The sequence below is a fragment of the Homo sapiens genome, chromosome 12 (genome assembly GCF_000001405.40).
Source record: "Homo sapiens chromosome 12, GRCh38.p14 Primary Assembly".
Taxonomy (NCBI): domain Eukaryota; kingdom Metazoa; phylum Chordata; class Mammalia; order Primates; family Hominidae; genus Homo; species Homo sapiens.
Window position 1 is genome coordinate 52502916 of NC_000012.12, and position 18581 is coordinate 52521496.

Below are 18581 nucleotides of genomic sequence, written 5' to 3' on the forward strand. Positions count from 1 at the left end.
TTTGCTAGTACATTGGAAAGTGATTGACTTTTTATATTAGCCTTGTATCATGCAACTTTGCTATAATCACTTGTAAGTTTGGGTAGTTTTTCATTGCATCTTTTTTTCTACATAGACAGTTATGTCATGTGATCAAAGTTTTATTTGTTCCCACCCAATTTGTATAACTTTCATTTCCTTTTCTTGTCTTATTTCATTAACTAGGACTTCCAGTTATTTTGAAAAGTAGTGATGAGAGGGGAAATCCTTGCCTTGTTCCTGATCTTAGCAGGAAAGCTTCTAGTTTCTCACCATTAAGTATAATCTTAGCACAGGTTTTCTGTAAATGTTCTTTATCAAGTTGTAAAATTTCCCCTCTCCTCCAAGCTTACTAAGAGTTTGCATTATAAATGGTGTTGGATTTTGTGAAATTGTTTTTCACAATACACCTATTGATATAATCATGTGTTTTTTTTTCTACGGCCTATTGTTGTGATTGATTACATTAACTGATGTTCAAATGTTGAACCAGTCTGTCATACGTGGAATAAATGTCACTTGGTCATGGTGTATAATTCTTTTATAATTCTTTTTATGCATTGTTGGATTTGATTTGCTAATATTTTATAGGGGATTTTTACAGCTATGCTTATGAGAGATAATGCTCTACAGTTTTCTGTTCTTGCAATATCTTTGTCTTGTTTTGGTATTAAGGTGATGCTGGCTTCATAGAATGAGTCAGAAAATGTTCTCTGTGTTCCTATCTTTGGAAAGAGATTATAGAGAATTGGTACAATTTCTCCTGTCAATGTTTGGTAGAATCCACCTGTGAACCCATCCAGGCCTGGATGGGTAAATAAATAACTTTTGGAAAGTTATTTACTATTGGTTCAATTTCTTTAGTCTATTTTTTCTTGTGTGAATTTTAGCAGATCATGTCTTTCAAAAAATTGGTTCATTTAATTTAGGTTATCATATTTGAGGATGTAGAGTTGTTTATAATATTTCTTCATTACCCTTTCAATCCCCATGGAATATATAGTGATGTCGATTTATTCATTTCTGATATTAGTAACTTTGTGTCCTTTCTATTGTTTTCTTAGCCTGGCTAGAAGCTTATCAATTTTACTGGTCTTTTCAAAGAAATCATTTTTGGTTCCATTAATTTTCTCTATTAATTTCCTGCTTTTAATTTCATTTATTTCTGCTCTAATCTGTATTACTTTTTTCTTCTACTTATTTTGAATTTAATTTCCTTCTTTTTTTCTAGGTTTCTAAGGTGGAATACATGCATTCAATATAAATTTCTCTCTAAACTCTATTTTTGTTGCATCCCATAAATTTTGGTGTCATATTTTCATTTTTATTTAGTTCAAAATATTTAAAAATGTATGTTCAGATTTCTTCCTTGACCCATGTGTTATTCAGAAGTTTGTTGTTTAATCTCCATGTATTTGGGGATTTTTTTTTTTTTTTTGAGATGGTCTCACTCTGTTGCCCAGGCTGGAGTGCAGTGGCGTGATCTCGGTTCACTGCAACCTCTGCCTCCTAGGTTCAAGCAATTCTCCTGCCTCAGCCTCCTGAGTAGCTGGGATTACAGGCATGTGCCACCACGTGCAGCTAATTTTTGTGTTTTTAGTAGAGATGGGGTTTCACCATGTTGGTCAGGCTGGTCTCTCACTCCTGATCTGGTGATCTGCCCATCTCAGCCTCCCAAAGTGCTGGAATTACAGGCATGAGCCAACATGCCTGGCCGTATTTGGGGATTTTTAAACTATCTTTCTGTTATTGATTTCTAGCTTACTTCTATTGTGGTCTGAGAGCATACATTGTATGATTTATATTTTTTAAAAAATTTTAAGGTATGTTTTATGGCCACAGTGTGAATGTTCTATGTGAGCTTGAGAAGAATGTGTATTCTGCTCTTGTTTGGTGAAGTGTTCTAAAGGTGTCAATTATATTGAGGTGATTGATGGTGTTTTTGAGTTCAACTATGTCCTTACTCATTTTCTAATAAAAAATCAATATAAATATTTTCTAATATAAAATAGTGTTGAAGTCTCTGATTAGAATAGTGGATTCCTCTGTTTCTCTACCCCATTATTCCATTGGTTTTTGCCTCACATATTTTGATGCTCTGTTGTTAAGCACGTACATATTACGGATAGTTATATCTTGGAATTAAGGATTATTATTGACACCTTTATCATTAGGTAATGCCCCTCTTTCTTACTGATAATTTTCCTTGCTATGAAGTCTGTCCTGTCCCAAATTAATACAGCTACTTCAGCTTTCTTTTAATTAGCATTAGCATGGTATGTCTTTTCTCCATCCCTTTACTTTTAATCATATATGTCTTTATATTTAAAAATGGGTTTGTTTTAGACAGCATACTGTTGGGTTTTGTTTTTTGATCCATTCTAACAATCTCTATCTTTAAGCTGGTGCATTTAGACCATCACCATTTAAAGTTATTATTGATATAGTTGGATTAATATCTACCATATTTCTTACTGTTTTCTAGTTATTGCTCTTGTTTTTCGTTCCTTTTTTGTCTCCCACTCTTTTTTCATCTTTTGTGGTTTTAACTGAGCATTTTATGATTCCATTTTCTCTCCTTTTTAGTATATCGGTTATACTTTTTTTTTTTTTTTTTACTTCTTTCAGTGGTTGCCCTAGAGTTTGCAATATACATTTACAACTAATCCAAGTCTACTTTCAAATAACACTATACTGCTTCATGGGTATTGCAAGTTCTTTGAAATAACCAAGTACAGTTGACCCTTGAACAACATGGGTTTGAACTGCATGGATCCACATATATGTAGAATTCACAAGATGCAATATCCAAGTATTATGAAGGGCCAACTTTTCTTTTCATGTAGAGGATCCTACAGGGCTGACAGTGGGACTTGCGTATGCCAGGATTTTGGTATATGTGCAGGGTCTTGGAATCAATCCCTGGCATATACCAAGGGGTGACCGTATCGCTAATTCCTCCCTCGCATCCTTTGTATCAATGCTGTCATTCATTTCACTTACACATAAAGTATAAACATTGAAGACATTGTTGCTATTATTATTTTGAACGAACATTTATCTGTTAGATCTTATTTCTTCTCTAATGCTTTTCCTTTCTTTATGTAGATCCGAGTTTCTGACCTATATAATTTTCCTTCTTGGTGAAGAGCTTCTTTTAACATTTCTTGCAAGGCAGGACTACTGGCAACATATTCTCTTCATTTTTGTTTGTCTTGAGAAAGTCTTTATTTTTTCTTCATTTTTGAAGGATAATTTAGCAAGATATAGAATTCCGTGTTGCTGTTTTCTCACCCAACAGTAAATATTTTACTCCAGTCTTTTCTTGCTTGCAAGGTTTCTGTGAGGAAGTGAGATTTAATTCTTATCTTTGTTCCACTATAGATAAGTTGTTTCCCCCCCAACCATGGCTTCTTTCAGGATTTTTGTTATCTTTCATTTTCTACAGTTTGAATATAATATACACAGGTATTTTTTTATGTCTGACACTAATTTTTGGAAATTCTCAGTCATTACTTTCTCCAATATTTATTATGTTGCTTTCTCTATTTCTTGTTCTAGTATTCCTTTTACACAAGTTACATCTTTCATAGTTTCCCCCACAGTTCTTGCATATTCTGTTCTTCTTTTCTCAGTCTTTTTTTATTTTTGCTTTTCAGTTGAGAAAGAACTGAAAAAACAGTTCTATTGACATACCCTCAAGCTCAGATTCTAATGTCAGCTGTGTCTAGTCTACTAATGAGCCCACAAAAGGCGTTCGTCATTTCTGTTATAATGTTTTTTATCTCTAGCATTTATTTTTTATTATTAGAATTTCTGTCTATCTGCTTTCATTACCCATCTGTTCTTGCATGTTGTGTACCTTGTTCATTTGTGCTCTTAGCTTGTTAATCATGGTTGTTTTAAATTCCCGATCTAATAATTCCAATATCCCTGCCATATCTGAGTGTGGTTCTGGTACTTGCTCTGTCTTTTCAAACTGTTTTCTACCTTGAAGTATGCTTTGTAATTTTTTTGTTGAAAATGGATGGAAGAAACTGATAAATAAGCTTTAGTAATGTAGTGATGAGGTATGAGGTGAGGGGAGGTATTCTATAGACCTATGAGTAGAATTAGGTCTCAGTCTTTTAGTGAGCCTGCGCCCCTTGGCTGTGAACTTCACAAGTGCTTCTGAGGCTTTTTTCACCTCTTTAAGTAGGGTCAGCATAGCTGGAGGGAGCTGGGGTTGGGTATTTCCCTTTCTCCAGCTAGACCAGGCTCTGATAAAACCTCAGCAGGGCTGCCTGTGGTTAAATAGTTGTTCCTGACGGCAGACTGCCTTAAGAACAGAATGCTCTGTCTATTTCAAAATGGTTCTTTGTCTGCTCCCCCTACTGGAAGCATGAGATTCTTCTCACATTTTCTCTGTGAGGACCTGGTGGAGCCCCTGGAGTAAAACTAAGTATGCTTCTCTAAGAGTGGGCTCCCCTGGAATTCTCAACACTCAAACTTATCCACACGGAGCCTCCGGCAATTTACCAATTATGGCTCAGGGTTTTCTACCCAAATACTGGTTCCTGTGGAGATTTCTGCTCATGGGTTACTACTCTGGTAAGTTGGGATTCTCTGTAATTGCTTCTTTAACTCTCCAGTTGGAAGGCAGTGGTTTGCCCTGTAATCTTAGTTCTCTGACAGATGAAGAAGAGTTGTTGCTTTTCATTTTTTCCATTTTTTACTTTTTGTTAGAATGTAGTGATGACTTTCAACCTCCTGAAGTGCCAGACCCCAAACTAAAAGTCCCTCTAGTCTCTCTTGCTCTTTAAATCAGAGCTGAGGTTTTCTACCCTTTGTTTCCCCTCTGTGCTGATACCTGTTCCACTGAGCTCCCATTGATCACCATCAAAAGATCAACGGTCATTATCACACAGACATGCAAACATCCTTCTCATGCTTCCATCTTATTACAGATACATGAGTCTGCTGTAATTCTGAGATGAAAATGACATATGCCACCCACTAAAAGCTGAAGCTCAATCTGGGTCCAGCTGCAGAGGAGCAGTCCTCTCTTCAATTCCCAACAGTCCTGCCCATCATAACTACACTCAGGAGTTCCCATCTGACAAATAAGTTGTCCTTATCTTCCCTTGCAGTGTCCCTGAATGGTGTGTGATGTACCTTCTGATGCAGTCTGCATTTCTGCACTGCTTTTCTTTGCTCTCTTTGCCTTCTTTTGTTCTGTTGAATAAAGGAGATTGAGAATATGAACTTTCTGTTAGATTGCCTTGCTGACCATGTGCTGGTTTAGAAACATTCTCATCCCACAAACATTCCTCATCTTTGAGGAACTGCCCCTCTCCACACCGACAACTCACCATGCTCCACACCCTACTCTGTCAGTCAGTGATTCTGGAGGACACTCTGGGTGGACGATCACCAATGTTGTATAAGCCCCAAAAGCTGTTAGGACAAGTTCCCGGTGTGCCAGGCAAAGTCTGTTCTCTTTCCCCAGCTGAAAAGCTCCAGGACAGCAGGCTACTGGCAGGATACCTCGCCAGCCTCGAGTAAAGGCCAGACCCTTACCCAGATCTGAGAGACCAACTAGATGCCAGTTGGCTTGAGACTTGGAGCAGGCATTGCCATCCCAGTCACTTGTGAATAGGGTTGTTCAGACAAAATAGAGAATGCCCAGTTAAATTTAAATTTCAGATAAACAACAAAAAATATACAGTAAGTATGTTCCACATGTTGCATGGAACATACTTATACTAAAAAAAATTATTTATTGTTTCTCTGAAATTCAATCTGAACGGCACATCCTGTATTTTTGTTTGCTAAATCTGGCAACCCTGCCTATGAAGTCATCCTGCCTTTATATGGAATCACAGACAAGGGCACAGGTTGTTTACTGGGCTACTGCTTTGGATTTCTCCTGTAAGGGGCAGACAATAGACAAGGACCAAGCTTAAGACCCTTCCTCCAAATCATCCGCATTAACTAACCCATAGGTTGCTTAGAAGTCTTGTTCAGTTTCTAAATATTTTTGAATTGTTGAGATATATTTCATTACTGCTTTCTAATTTAATATGCCATGATCGTGGAACATAGTCAGTATGTTTTCAATATTTTGAAGTGTATTGAGACTGTTTTATGGCTTAGCATATTACTTATCTTTGTGAATGTCCTTTGTGAGAAGAATGCTGTTGTGGGTACTGTTTTGTAGTTCTTTGTATATTCTGAATACAATTTCACATATATATAAAAATTATGTATATATATAATATTTATATATATTCAAAATTTTGCGGGGTTGTGGCTTACTGTTTTGCTCTCTTCATGTTGTTTTATGAACAAAGTTTATCAATTTTTTAAGGTAAGCTTTTTTCTATCCCATTTAAGAAATTTTTGCCTATCCTCACTCCATAAAGATATCTTCTGTTTTCTTCTGAATGAATTATTGTTTTACCTTTCACATACAGGACTATAATACAACTGAAAATGATTTTTATCTATGGGATGAAGTAGAAATCGTAATACATTTTTCCCATATAGACAGCCAACTAACCTTGCACCATTTATTGAAAAGACTATCCTTTTTCTATTGCACTGTAATAGTACCTTTGTTGTAAATCAATTGAGTCAATATGTAGTTTGCTTCTAGATTCTATATACTATCTCATAGGTCCATTTGTCAATCATTTCCCCAGCACCATACTTTCTTAATTACTACAACTTTATAATAAGTTTCAGTATCTGGAACTATAAGTCTTCCAACTTTATTCATCATTTTTTAAAATTTAATTTGATACTAAGTTCCGGGATACATGTGCAGGATCTGCCAGTTTGTTACATAAGTAAACATGTGCCGTGGTGGTTTACTGCATCTATCAACCCATCACCTAGGTTTTAAGCCCCGCATGCATTAGCTGTTTATCCTGATGCTCTCCCTTCCCCCAACCCCTTTGATAGGCCCCAGCATGTGTTGTTCCCCTCCCTGTCTCCATGTGTTCTCACTGTTCAGCTCCCACTTATAAGTGGGAACATGTGGTGTTTGGTTTTCTGTTCGTGCATTAGTTTGCTAAGGATAATGGCTTCCAGCTCCATCCATGTCCCTGCAAAGGACATGATTTCGTTTCTTTTTATGGCTCCATAGTATTCTGTGGTGTATACGTATCACATTTTCTTTTTCCAGTCTATCATTGATGGGCATTTGTGTTGGTTTCATGTCTTTGCTATTGTGAATAGTGCTGCAGTAAACATACACATGCATGTATCTTTATAATAGAATAATTTCTATTCCTTTGGGTATATACCCAGTAATGGGATTCCTGGGTCAAATGGTATTTTTGGTTCTAGATTTTGAAGACTCATCACACTGTCTTCCACAATGGTTGAACTAATTTACATTCCCACCAACAGTGTAAAAGCTGTTCTTCTTTTTTAGGGTTGTTTTGACTATTTTAGCTCCTTTTCATTTCCTGTCTTAGTTCATTTTGTGCTGCTATAATGGAATAGCTGAGTCTGGGTAGTTTAAAAAACCAAAAATTTATTTCTCACAGTTCCGGAGGCTGGGAAGTCCAGGATCAAGATACTGACAGGTTTGGTTGTCTAATGGGGGCTACATTCTTTGGAGGGGAGGAATGCTATCTCCTCAACTGGCAGAAGAGTAGAAGAGCAACCTAACTGAATCCTGTGTGAAGCTTCTGAACTCTGAAAGTCCCCATTTCTAAATATCATTACATTGGCAACATCCAAATTTTGGAGGCAATACATTCAAATCATAGCATTTCAACACAAATTTTAGAATAGATTTATCAATTTCCACAAAAAATCTGTGAAAATTTGATTGAAATTGCATTAAACCCATAGTTCAATTTGGAGAAATTGATGTATTTACAATATTAAGTTTTCCAATCCATGAAGATATCATATACCTTTGTTTATTAGGTCTTCTTTAATATTTTCAAAAGGATCATTTTAGTTTTTTGTCTTACACATCTTTGGTTAAGTTTATTTCTAGGTATTAGATTTTTTATGCTACTAAAAATATCTTTCAAATTTTGTTTTCTAACTGTTGTTTTCTAGTGTACAAAAGTATAATTGATATTTGTATATTGATTTTCTGGTGACCTTGATACATTCACTTATTAATTCTAGTAGTTTGTAGATTATTTTAATTTTCTATATATACAATTATGTCATATGTGATCGCCTGCAGTTTGCTTTTCTTCTGATCCAGAAGATGCTTATTTCTTTGTCTTGCCTTATTGCAATGGCTAAGATCTCCAGTATAAAGTTGAGTAATCATTGTGATAATAGTTATCCTTACCCCCTTTTTGTTCAATGGAAAAGTTTCATTTACTATTAAGTATAATATTTTTTGTTTTTTTGGGCGGCCATTTGATTTATCTCCCTTTATTCTATTCATTTTGTATATTACATGATTTTTTAAACATTAAACCATCTTGACTGCACTGATGCTTGACTGCTGACAACTTCTAAGCAAGCCCCTTGCCTCCCTTTCCTATTATGCTCATTATCTGGAAAAACTGATATGAAAACCGAGGTGTTCCTTCCTTTGGCAGTGATAGCAACTTCCAACTTCAAACCACATGCAGGCCCCACCCCTAATTACCATAAAAAACCTGATGCTATAAAAAACCCTGCTCACTCAAGCCACTTTTGGACCAGCTTGGAAGTCCTGCCTTGCTTTCCTCAGAAAGCCTTATTATTTGAGTTAAATATCCGTTCACCCCCTCTTGGAGTGTGTGGTGTGTGTGTGTGTGTGTGTGTGTGTGTGTGTGTGTGTGTGATGTCATCAGTCTCAACAGCTAAACGAAATTTTGTGTGGCTGTCCATCTTGCCTCTGGAAGGTGGTCATGACAATCAGCACTGTGAGCCTGCTAGATGTCTAGATGATGACTGCTTCCACCGGAGTCTTTTCTTTCTTGCTTTGGCTTCCAGTCTGGCTCTGCTGTCTTGCTCTGGGTTGCTGTGTGCTGACTAGGGGGCTCTTTGAGTTGTGTTGCTGCCTGCTGGCAAACTTGCCCTTTGAGCTGTGTTGCTTTGGGCTGCATTTGCTGAGTTCTGCTGAGCCTCTGTTACAGATTTAATTGACCCAAGTCAGAAGTTTCAAAAACTGGGATTTAAGGACAGGAGTATGGGATTGGGGGCCCTCTTAGGGAGGCCCTGAATCGTGTTCCTCAGCCCAGACCTGTCTGTATATACCGTATTGAATTGTATTTCTTGATTCCAGCATAAACTGGGACTGATGCTAAGCTAAGGGGAATGGCTCTTACCCCGTGACTACTGGTTGTGTGTCTCAAGCGGGTGCCGGCCCTCATTCTACGGAGTTTTCAGGGAAAAGACTGATATGTGGTCCCTTCTGGTGGTCACTCATGTGGAAGAAGAGCAGTTACTACGTGGCATGCTGAAGCCACGCTCCTAAAAACAGATGGCAGCCAGGCGCGGTGGCTCACGCCTGTAATCCCAGCACTTTGGGAGCCCACGGCAGGTGGATCACCTGAGGTCAGTAATTTGAGACCAGCCTGACCAACATGGAGAAACCCCGTCTCTACTAAAAACACAAAATTAGCCGGGCATGGTGGCGCATGCCTTTAATCCCAGCTCCTGGGAAGGCTGAGGCAGGAGAATCACTTGAACCTGGGAGGAGGAGGTTGTGGTGAGCCAAGCTTGCGCCATTACTCTCCAGCCTGGGCAACAATAGCAAAACTCTGTAGGAAAAAAAAAAAAAACAAAAAACCAGAGTGCTTACTAACTAGAGTCCTGTAAAATGTCTTGGCTGCTGTTGCTGCTGTTGCTCCTGTTGCCACCGCTGCCGCTGCCTATGCCTCTGTTACCAGAAAAGATCCTCATCCTCCGGGTTATAGGAGAAAACACACATGGCACAGCCAAAGGGTTAATTCAACTATTTCCATGGGGGAGGCCTCGAGCCCTGACAATACAGATTTGAGACTCCTTGGAGGAATAAATATATAAATATGGGCAGAGTAGAGAGAATTCCTCTCCTGCCAAATTATATTCAGAAACCACAAGAAAGATAGAGAGAGAGAGAGAAACCTGAAAACAGGGAGAAGAAACAAAAAATTAAAACAAAGATCCATAATTTGATACAATTGGAAATCCAAAATTGGCTAAAATAATTTATACATCTAAAAGATAAAAAGGTGTGCAGGCTGTCTTGGTGTCTCCACCACATAAATTCTGAATTTACTTTCACATTTGCTGACATACAATAATTGACAATTCTTCATGGTCTTAATCCATACTGAAGCTCAAATAATACTTATACCTGGGGATCCTATTAAATTTAAACAAGGTACCCCTGTAATCTTGGGGAAGTTAATGAACAAAAAATAGAGAACAAACAGGCATGCCTCACTTTAATTAGCAGAACTACTGACTTGCTTAAATTTCCCACGATCATAGCATCCTCTAACGTTTCCCACAATGGGCATGGACAGTCTAACCCAATAAGTCATAAATTAAAATTAAATCAAGTCCTTGGCATTTATAAATTGGTTTGGCAAAATGGGACACCATGGGCCTCCCCAAGCCCTAGTTAAAATAGTTAATATGCCCCAGTGTAAATTAAAACAGGACCTTTAAGGAGTGAAGCCCATTAAACAGGATCTATTTAGAGAAGGGTTGTTTATATCCATTATTTTTCCATCAACAACCTAATTTGGCCTATTTTTAAACTTGGGAAAAATGAATGGTGCCTCACAGTGGATTACCACAACCATAATGTCATGGTCATGCCTACTAAGGCTCCATACCCAATATTACTGAAATTATTGACTTATCCAATTGGCAGCTGGTAGATATTTCCTTCTTATGGATTTGGCTGTCAAATATTCTGTTGAATGCCCGTTGCAACAGCTTCTCAGTCACAACTCGCTTCACCACCAAGGCGGCATGACACAGCTTTCCCAGATACTCAGGGATTGCCTCAGCAGCCCTGCCATGACATGCAATTTTTGCAGTCAAGCTCTTAAATGCATCTGACTTTCTCCAGGAGTACAGATATGATTTACATTGCTGAATCCTCCTCCAAAGAGATGCATTTGATACACGCGTTCAGGACATATAGATACCAAGGAGCTCAGAAAAAAAGGGTTTGCCGTTGTCCCACAGGTCATGCAAAGTCCTGCCACATTAAATTTCAGAAATTATTTGGTAAACCAAGAGCTACTCCATCCCTGACACTGTCAAAAAATAGCTATTGAGCATCTTAGCGCCCACAATATTACAATAGGACCAACATCTTTTAGGTCTTTTGAGGTCCTGAAGGCAACATATTCTTCATTTACAAACTTTACTTAAGCCCAAATATGCTGCTACTTGCAAATCATCTCACCTTGCATAGGGCCCTCTTTAACAAAAGGCTCTAAAATCTGTCTAAATTGTAGTACAATGCACATGCCCGTTAATGCCCTCCAGAGACTCCTTCATTGCAGAGACTTTATAATCTCTGTGCTTCTTGGAGTCTCTGGGCCACCCCCAATAGCCACTTTCCCTTAAATGTTATCCCATTCTCCCTGTGAATCATCAAAAGAACCAATCACATCTGGGTAGACTGACCCTCATGGTATCTCTAGGCTGATTGTAAACCTAGAAAAAAAAAACAATTCTGCACACCAGCTTATATTATAAAAGCATTTTATTGAACACATTCTGGAGGTAGTTAGAACCAAAACAAAATTTGGGATTGGGGTGGGGATTCTGTTTTGATGATTTAGATTTGGGAAAACTTTGGGTTCTCGTGTCAGCAGGGGCCATGCTGTGGGAAACCTGAAGGCTGATTTGAAGCAGAATATAGAACTGCGGCACGGGAGACCAGGGGCTGGGAATGGGGCTCTCCTGGGAACCAAAGAATGTGGTTCTGCAATTGGCTTGGTCTAGACTACTCTCCAGAAAAGGATAAAACATGGCTTGAGCAACTGCCTAGAAGAGGCAATCTCCATGGGCTGGGTTGCTGCACTTGGAAGGCAGTGACTTGCAGCAGGTTCTTAGCTCTTGAAGCTCTTCCGGGAGGAGGAGGTGGTGGAGACAAATTTGACGCTGGAGCTGCTACCCCCGCCACTGCCAAAGCCCACCCCCAGCCCTCGGCCACTGCTTGCACTGAAGCCAGAGCCCCCCACACTGAGCCCACCACCTAGGCCGACACCCCCACTGCTGCTGGAGTAGTAGCTTCCACTGCTACCTCCGGCAAGACCTCCACCGAGGCCGCCGCCAAGACCTCCACCGAGGCCACCGCCATAGCCACTGCCACTGCCATATCCAGAGGAAACACTGCTTGTGACAACAGCTGCAGGGAAAGGAGGGAGGACTCAGTGAGACCATCTGCCAGGCTGATCCTGCATGGCCCATTTATTTGATCTGCTGGTGTTGGAGCACTCTACTGGACCCCCTTTACAGAGTAGCAAACAAGGCCCGGAAGAACTGTCATTTAATTAAGGTCCCTAAAAAAGTGGGTGAGTGTAAGAGGCAAGGTGCTAGGTACTGAGAGGAGCTAGGTACTGAGGGGAGCTAGGTACTACAGGGAGCTAGGTACTGAGGGGAGCTAGGTACTGAGGGGAGGAGCTAGGTACTGGGGGGAGCTAGGTACTAGGGACAAGGCAGGGGACAGGGTCCAAGAAGCATAGGATGCATGGCTTACCCTTTAAGAGATGAGACATAAGCCACATTGCTTCCTGTCCCAATCTGTCCTTCCCCTCCACCACCCACAACTTACTAAGTGTATTATTATAAATAACCATATGCTGGGATGGGAAAAGTTTGGATCTAGAAACAGCAGAATTCTGAGTTGGCACTAAATATATCCCATATTATTGTCGTTGTTAATGTCTGTTCAAAGCTACTTACAGATGTTGACTGGTCCAACTCCTTCTCCACTGAGTCTGAAAGGGGAAAAATTGAATTAAGGGTTAACAGCTCCCAAAAAGACAGCATTAGTCTATGTGGCTAACTCCCATCCTCATGATTCGAGTTCATTCCATAAGCCAGGAGTCTGTACACCCAAAAGCTGCTTAAGTTAAAGGAAGGGAGAACTCTCCAGAGGGATTTTCCAATGAAGAGGGATTGACCTAGAAACAAGTTGTTAGGAAAGAATTATAATTCACATTCTTCTCCACCCACTATGGGGAAAGTATAAGAGATTTGGAAAATGTGATTATGTCGAAAGCAGTTTTTGCCTTGTAGGAGTTACATTCTGTGAGAGAACTTGGCACGGACAGAAATTCCTCCAACAGAAAGTAGGCAATGGGCAATGTCAGAGGTTGAAGCAAACAGTAGTTTGACAATCCAAAGGTAGCTGAGTTTAACTCAGCTGGAGTAAACATGAAAGCCTTCCTGAAGGAAGGGGTACTGGAGGACAAGGGTGGATGGAGGTGGGCATGACATGGATATTGAGGTTGAGCAAAGGACGTGAGCAAAAGCAGAAAAGGCACAAGTGTCAAGAAGATTGCTGAGTTGCTCAGGTGCTTGGAGGACAGCCAGTGCCCAGGAACACCGGTGGGGGAAAAGAGACCAGAAAAGTGAGTTGAGGTCAGCTATATGGCCATGAGTCAGACTGAAATAGTGTTGATGATGTGTCATTATCACGCACAAGTCACTGATCTCATGTATGTGTGTTGTACACCCCACAGTAGAGCAGCTTCGCTTTATCAGCTGAAGGCCATCTTGAGTTCATGCTGTCTACTCACCTGCATTCCTCGCCCTCCAGCAGCTTGCGGTAAGTGGCGATCTCCACGTCCAGGGCCAGCTTGGTGTTCATGAGCTCCTGGTACTCACGCAGCAGCCGGGCCATGTCCTGCTTGGCCTTCTGCAGGGCCTCCTCCAGCTCGGCCAGCTTGTTCCTGGCATCCTTGAGGGCCAGCTCCCCACGCTGCTCGGCATCCGCAATGGCGTTCTGCAGATTGGCGCACTACAGATAGAAAGGAGGAGAGTGGGGTTGCTTGGGACCTGAGGTGTCTCCTTCTGAGTTTCTGGGTCAGACAAACCAAACTATCATGAATCCCAGAGAGAAACCAGTACATCGTGGGTGGCAGGACACTGAAACACTGGTACTGGATCTAGCTGCGTGTGTTTAGCAAAAGTAAAACAAAATAAAACAAAGTAGGTGTTTCTTTTAGAACTCAGGCCCCTTCCTTGCCCTCTTTCAATCTCACCCTACCTGTTTCTTGACATTGTCAATCTCGGCTCTCAGCCTCTGGATCATCCGGTTCATCTCAGAGATCTCATGCTTGGTGTTGCGGAGGTCATCGCCATGCCGGCCAGCTGTCTGCTGCAGCTCCTCATACTGATGCAGCCAGGAAAGAGGAAAGATTCTGTTTATATGAGAATGGGAAGAACTTTCCCAAAGTTCACAGGCAGTGAGTACTAAGTGGTGGCAAATAGTGTGGGGCTGGTTCAGGCTTTTCCAAGGCTGAGCTAGTCTAGTGCCTTTGCTCTCCTGGAGACACTGGTGTGAGATTCAGAGTGAGATTATTTCTCAGGTCCTTGGGTTTAGATGGAAATTGTCTACACAGCCATTCCTATAAAGCATCCCAATGGGCTTCAGCAGGTTCCAGGAGCCCCATTCTTAGTGTCGTCATGGCCTAGAATCCTAGACATGGGTGTGTCCCCTCACTCAGGAGACAGTCATCAGAGCACCCACCTTGGTCTGATACCAGGACTCGGCTTCTGTCCGGCTGCGGTTGGCAATCTCCTCATACTGGGCCTTGACCTCAGCGATGATGCTATCCAGGTCCAGGTTGCGGTTGTTGTCCATGGAGAGGACCACTGAGGTGTCAGAGACATGCGTCTGCATCTGGGACAGCTCCTGCAGGGAGATTTGGAGTCGGTCATCTGGTTCTGTGTTGTGTTATTTAATGTCAGTTCCATTCAAATCTTTCACTCATTGTGATATGACAACTTGAGGAAAAAAAACCCACCCATGTGAAAAATTTAGATAAGTTTCTTACCGCATCAAAGAACATCTTCATGAAGTTAATCTCATCCATCAGTGCATCAACCTTGGCCTCCAGCTCCACCTTGTTCATGTAGGCAGCATCTACATCCTGGGGAAACAGGGATGATTGGCACTGCACACACCGTCACCCTACTCAAGTGAGCTCCACGCTTAGAGAGCATAGCTGCAGGCTGCTGGTTCTCTCCCACCCACACGCACCTTCTTCAGCATCACAAACTCATTCTCAGCAGTGGTACGCTTGTTGATTTCATCCTCATACCTGGTGGTGAAAGGGATGGGAAGTGTTTGTCAGAGGATGAGCAACAGGTAAGGGGTCTTTATTATGCAGTCAACTGTAAGCCTACTTTTGCAGTGGGAAGGGGCTTCTCCTCATAGGCAGAGAGGGAGGGGACACTGGTAGCATGAACCTCTGGCCAAGGTCCCTCCCCATTTAAATACTGCTTTCTCTGTAACTGCCTACCATATAATAATTCTATTATTGCTCTAATTCAGTTGTTTCAAGCAGATTCCTGCAGAAAAGCTGTGCTGTTTCTCCCCAACTGCATTACCTAGTCAATTTCTCTAGTGTTCTTTTTTGAGCTTTCAGAGGCTTTAAAAAAAAAAAGAAAAGAAACAAAATTAAATCTAGCATCCTAGTTGCTGGTTCATAAGACTAAAGAAATTACTTGAGCCACCAAGCTGGGTTATGTCACCAGCTCCTGCTTTGAGACAAATCTATCCAAAGGCCCATGTACCGGGGAGGAAAGTCCCAGAGAGCAAGCCTTACATCAGGGCAGATTTCACCAGGTAGTGCCAAGGGCACAGAGCATGTTGCTCTGGCTGTTGACTAAGTTCCTTGCAGAGGGCCTGAGCCTGGGGCTGGAACTTTCTAAACATGAGCCTGGCTTGTGTATTTGTTTGTTTGTTTTAGTACTGGAGGTGTCCATGGAAGGTATATCCTCCCAGCCCCAAAGGAAGGCATGGTAGTAGACTAGTAACAAAGCCCATCTGGTACCAAGAAGACACCACCCTCCCCTGTGTCCACCCTCCACCCCAACTCACTTGTTCTTGAAGTCTTCCACCAGGTCCTGCATGTTTCTCAGCTCTGAGTCCAGGCGGCCCCGTTCCCCCACGATGCTGTCCAGCTGCCTCCTGAGGTTGTTGATGTACTGCTCGAACAACGGCTCCAGGTTCTGCCTCACAGTCTTGGTGCCCTGCTCCTGCAGCAGGGTCCACTTGGTGTCCAGAACCTTGTTCTGCTGCTCCAGGAACCGCACCTGGAGGGGAGCAGGGTTTGAAGATAGAGAAACTTGGATTTCATGTTCTATGATCAACTCACTAAGGTGCCTCCCACCTCTTTCCGTCCCTCTAAAGCTTTTCTGTGCACTGTGCCTGGCCCTGGGCCCCAGGAGGGGAGGTGCAGACTGAGGCACCCAAACTCACTTTTCCAGGGGGAGATAGGACACCTATCCAGGGCACAGAAAGCACTAGGAGTGCTGCTTGGAGTGTGTCCCGGCTCAGGGGTGGCTGCAAAGGCACTCAGGCTGCTGCCCATGCACTTGTCTACCTTCCTGTACAGTCAGCCCCTTTATATATGGCATGAAATTCATCTCTCTGTCCAACAGTTGTTAAGAGGCCCTTGTGAGCTAACCTCTGAATGGGAAGAAATAATTCTCCCTTCCCAGCTGCCAGTCTAATTCAGAACGTGTCCACAAATCCAGGGCACAGAAACAAACGGAAACACAGAACTGTACAACTATAAAAGTATTTGCACAAAGCCAAAACATCTTCCTTCTTTCTCTCTCTTTGGCATTTATTTCAGACCCACAGTGATTTTTTACAAAAGATCGTAGCTCACCTTGTCGATGAAGGAGGCAAACTTATTGTTGAGGGTCTTGATCTGCTCGCGCTCCTCGGTCCTCACCCTCTGGATGCTGGGGTCGATTTGCAGGTTGAGGGGAGTCAGGAGACTCTGGTTGACAGTGACCTCTTGGATACCTCCAGGAGGGCAGACAGGAAAGCCAGGGCCACCGAAGCCACCTCCAAAGCCAGCTCCGCCACCGAGCCCAAAGCCACCACCAGCTCCACCGCCGAAACCAAATCCACTACCGGCACCACCTCCAAAGCCATAGCCGCCTCCAGCACCAGCACCAAACCGGTTCCTGAAGCTGCCACCACTAGTGCTGATGGATATCCTCTTGGAGCCCCCCAGGTTGTAGAGGCTCCGGCTGCCATAGCCACCCACTCCACAAGCACCCGCAAGGCTGACCCTGCCGAAGCCACCACCACCGCCACCCCCGGACCGGGACACGGAGGTGAAGCTGGTGCGGGAGACAGACGGGGTGATGGCAGAGGCGGTGCTGAAGCTACGACTGCCCCCGCTCCGGAAGGACACACTTGACTGGCGAGACATGGTGGCTTGTTCCTGGTGGAGCAAGAGAACCAGGCACTAGTGGGTTGGGAGGTGCTGGAGAGAACAGAGCTCAGCAGGACGCAGAAGGTGGCTCTGTTACCCAGGAACGGTGATGCCCCCTTTTTATCCCTTCCAGAACTGGGCTGGGCGAGAGAGCTGTCGAGCTGTGAATGATTAAGTGGGCTGGGCATGCCTGGGGGGCAGCTGTGAGCTCACCGGTCACACCTGCACAGTGGTGTGGGGTGCAAACGCTTTCTTCCTGGCAGGCTCTGCTCAGTTAGAAATAACCTTGCCTTGCAGCACTGATCTCTTGGCAGCAAGTTGGTGACGCTGCTAGCAAGTATGTCTTCACCATAGAGGCTGGGGGCTGTGAGCAGCCCAAAAAGGATGCCAGGAACTGAGGGGGCATTGGCATGGCCAGTGTCCTGGGGACTCTTACAGGACCAGGAGTATTGACAACCATCCCAGTACGGTACATGCTGAGCACCTGCCCTTCCAGCTTGGGGAAGCTGTCCATCAGCGGGGGGCAAACGATTCCCCAGTGATCTGCTCTTACACTTTTCCAGGCAGCAGGTTGCTGCAGGGTTTTCCCCTCTGGGAAAGGCAATCTGTAGCCTTATATTCTTGGTTATGTGCTAGAGGGAAAATAGAGTTTCATCCTTTTCTGCACAATTTTTTTCTTAGGGAAGGCACAGCTATCCCAGAGCCCACTGGGCAGATCTGCCTGCAAGGTTTAGGCCAGAGAATGTGGGAAGCCCTCAGCGCCCCCTATAAACCACTTTGACCTCTTTAAGGCCAGGTTTATCCTTCCATAGCTCCTCCTAACTCAGCATTTTTTCTGCCCTTTGACCTTTTCCTTGCTCTTTGGCCTGGGCAGGACTCTGTGGGGGGTTTAGGAAACCCGGGGATCCCATGCAATCCCTTAAAAAAAAACCCTGAGACTCATGGGCTATAGCGTCTCTCTTTGGGGGTAGCTACTCTGCCGGTTCCCCAGCCCCCCAGGTGTGTTCCAGCAAGCTCTATTCCACTAGGGAAGAAATGAGTCATCGTATGTGTTGATACAGGCTGAAGGCCGCCACAAACACATACCTGCAGGAGCTTCTAATCTCATCAGGAACATGTTGAGAGTCTGACGGCCTGTTATAACGGCGAACCACCCTGTTCCAAGCAGCGGGACTTGCTCTGCTTTCTCTATGCTGT

The 18581-nt window shown here is 42.8% G+C and overlaps 1 protein-coding gene across 1 annotated transcript, besides 2 other annotated features; it reads right to left on the bottom strand.

The window, feature by feature from the left end:
• On the bottom strand, positions 11660–17479 carry KRT5 (keratin 5). Its single transcript, NM_000424.4, has 9 exons — positions 16827–17479; positions 16031–16245; positions 15188–15248; positions 14982–15077; positions 14675–14839; positions 14192–14317; positions 13722–13942; positions 12883–12917; positions 11660–12325 (listed from the first exon to the last, which is right to left on the bottom strand). Exons 1-9 carry the CDS (start codon positions 17379–17381, stop codon positions 12027–12029), a joined length of 1773 nt encoding a protein of 590 aa, NP_000415.2. The 5' UTR covers positions 17382–17479; the 3' UTR covers positions 11660–12026.
• Positions 13158–14357: an enhancer, noted in NCBI's record as "BRD4-independent group 4 enhancer chr12:52909857-52911056 (GRCh37/hg19 assembly coordinates)". NCBI's record gives its function as "activates an origin of replication core promoter dependent on BRD2, P300/CBP, MED14 and CDK7 cofactors, and independent of BRD4, by STARR-seq in HCT116 cells {active_cell/tissue: HCT116}" and the evidence as "EXISTENCE:reporter gene assay evidence [ECO:0000049][PMID:35650434]".
• Positions 15367–16566: an enhancer, noted in NCBI's record as "BRD4-independent group 4 enhancer chr12:52912066-52913265 (GRCh37/hg19 assembly coordinates)". NCBI's record gives its function as "activates an origin of replication core promoter dependent on BRD2, P300/CBP, MED14 and CDK7 cofactors, and independent of BRD4, by STARR-seq in HCT116 cells {active_cell/tissue: HCT116}" and the evidence as "EXISTENCE:reporter gene assay evidence [ECO:0000049][PMID:35650434]".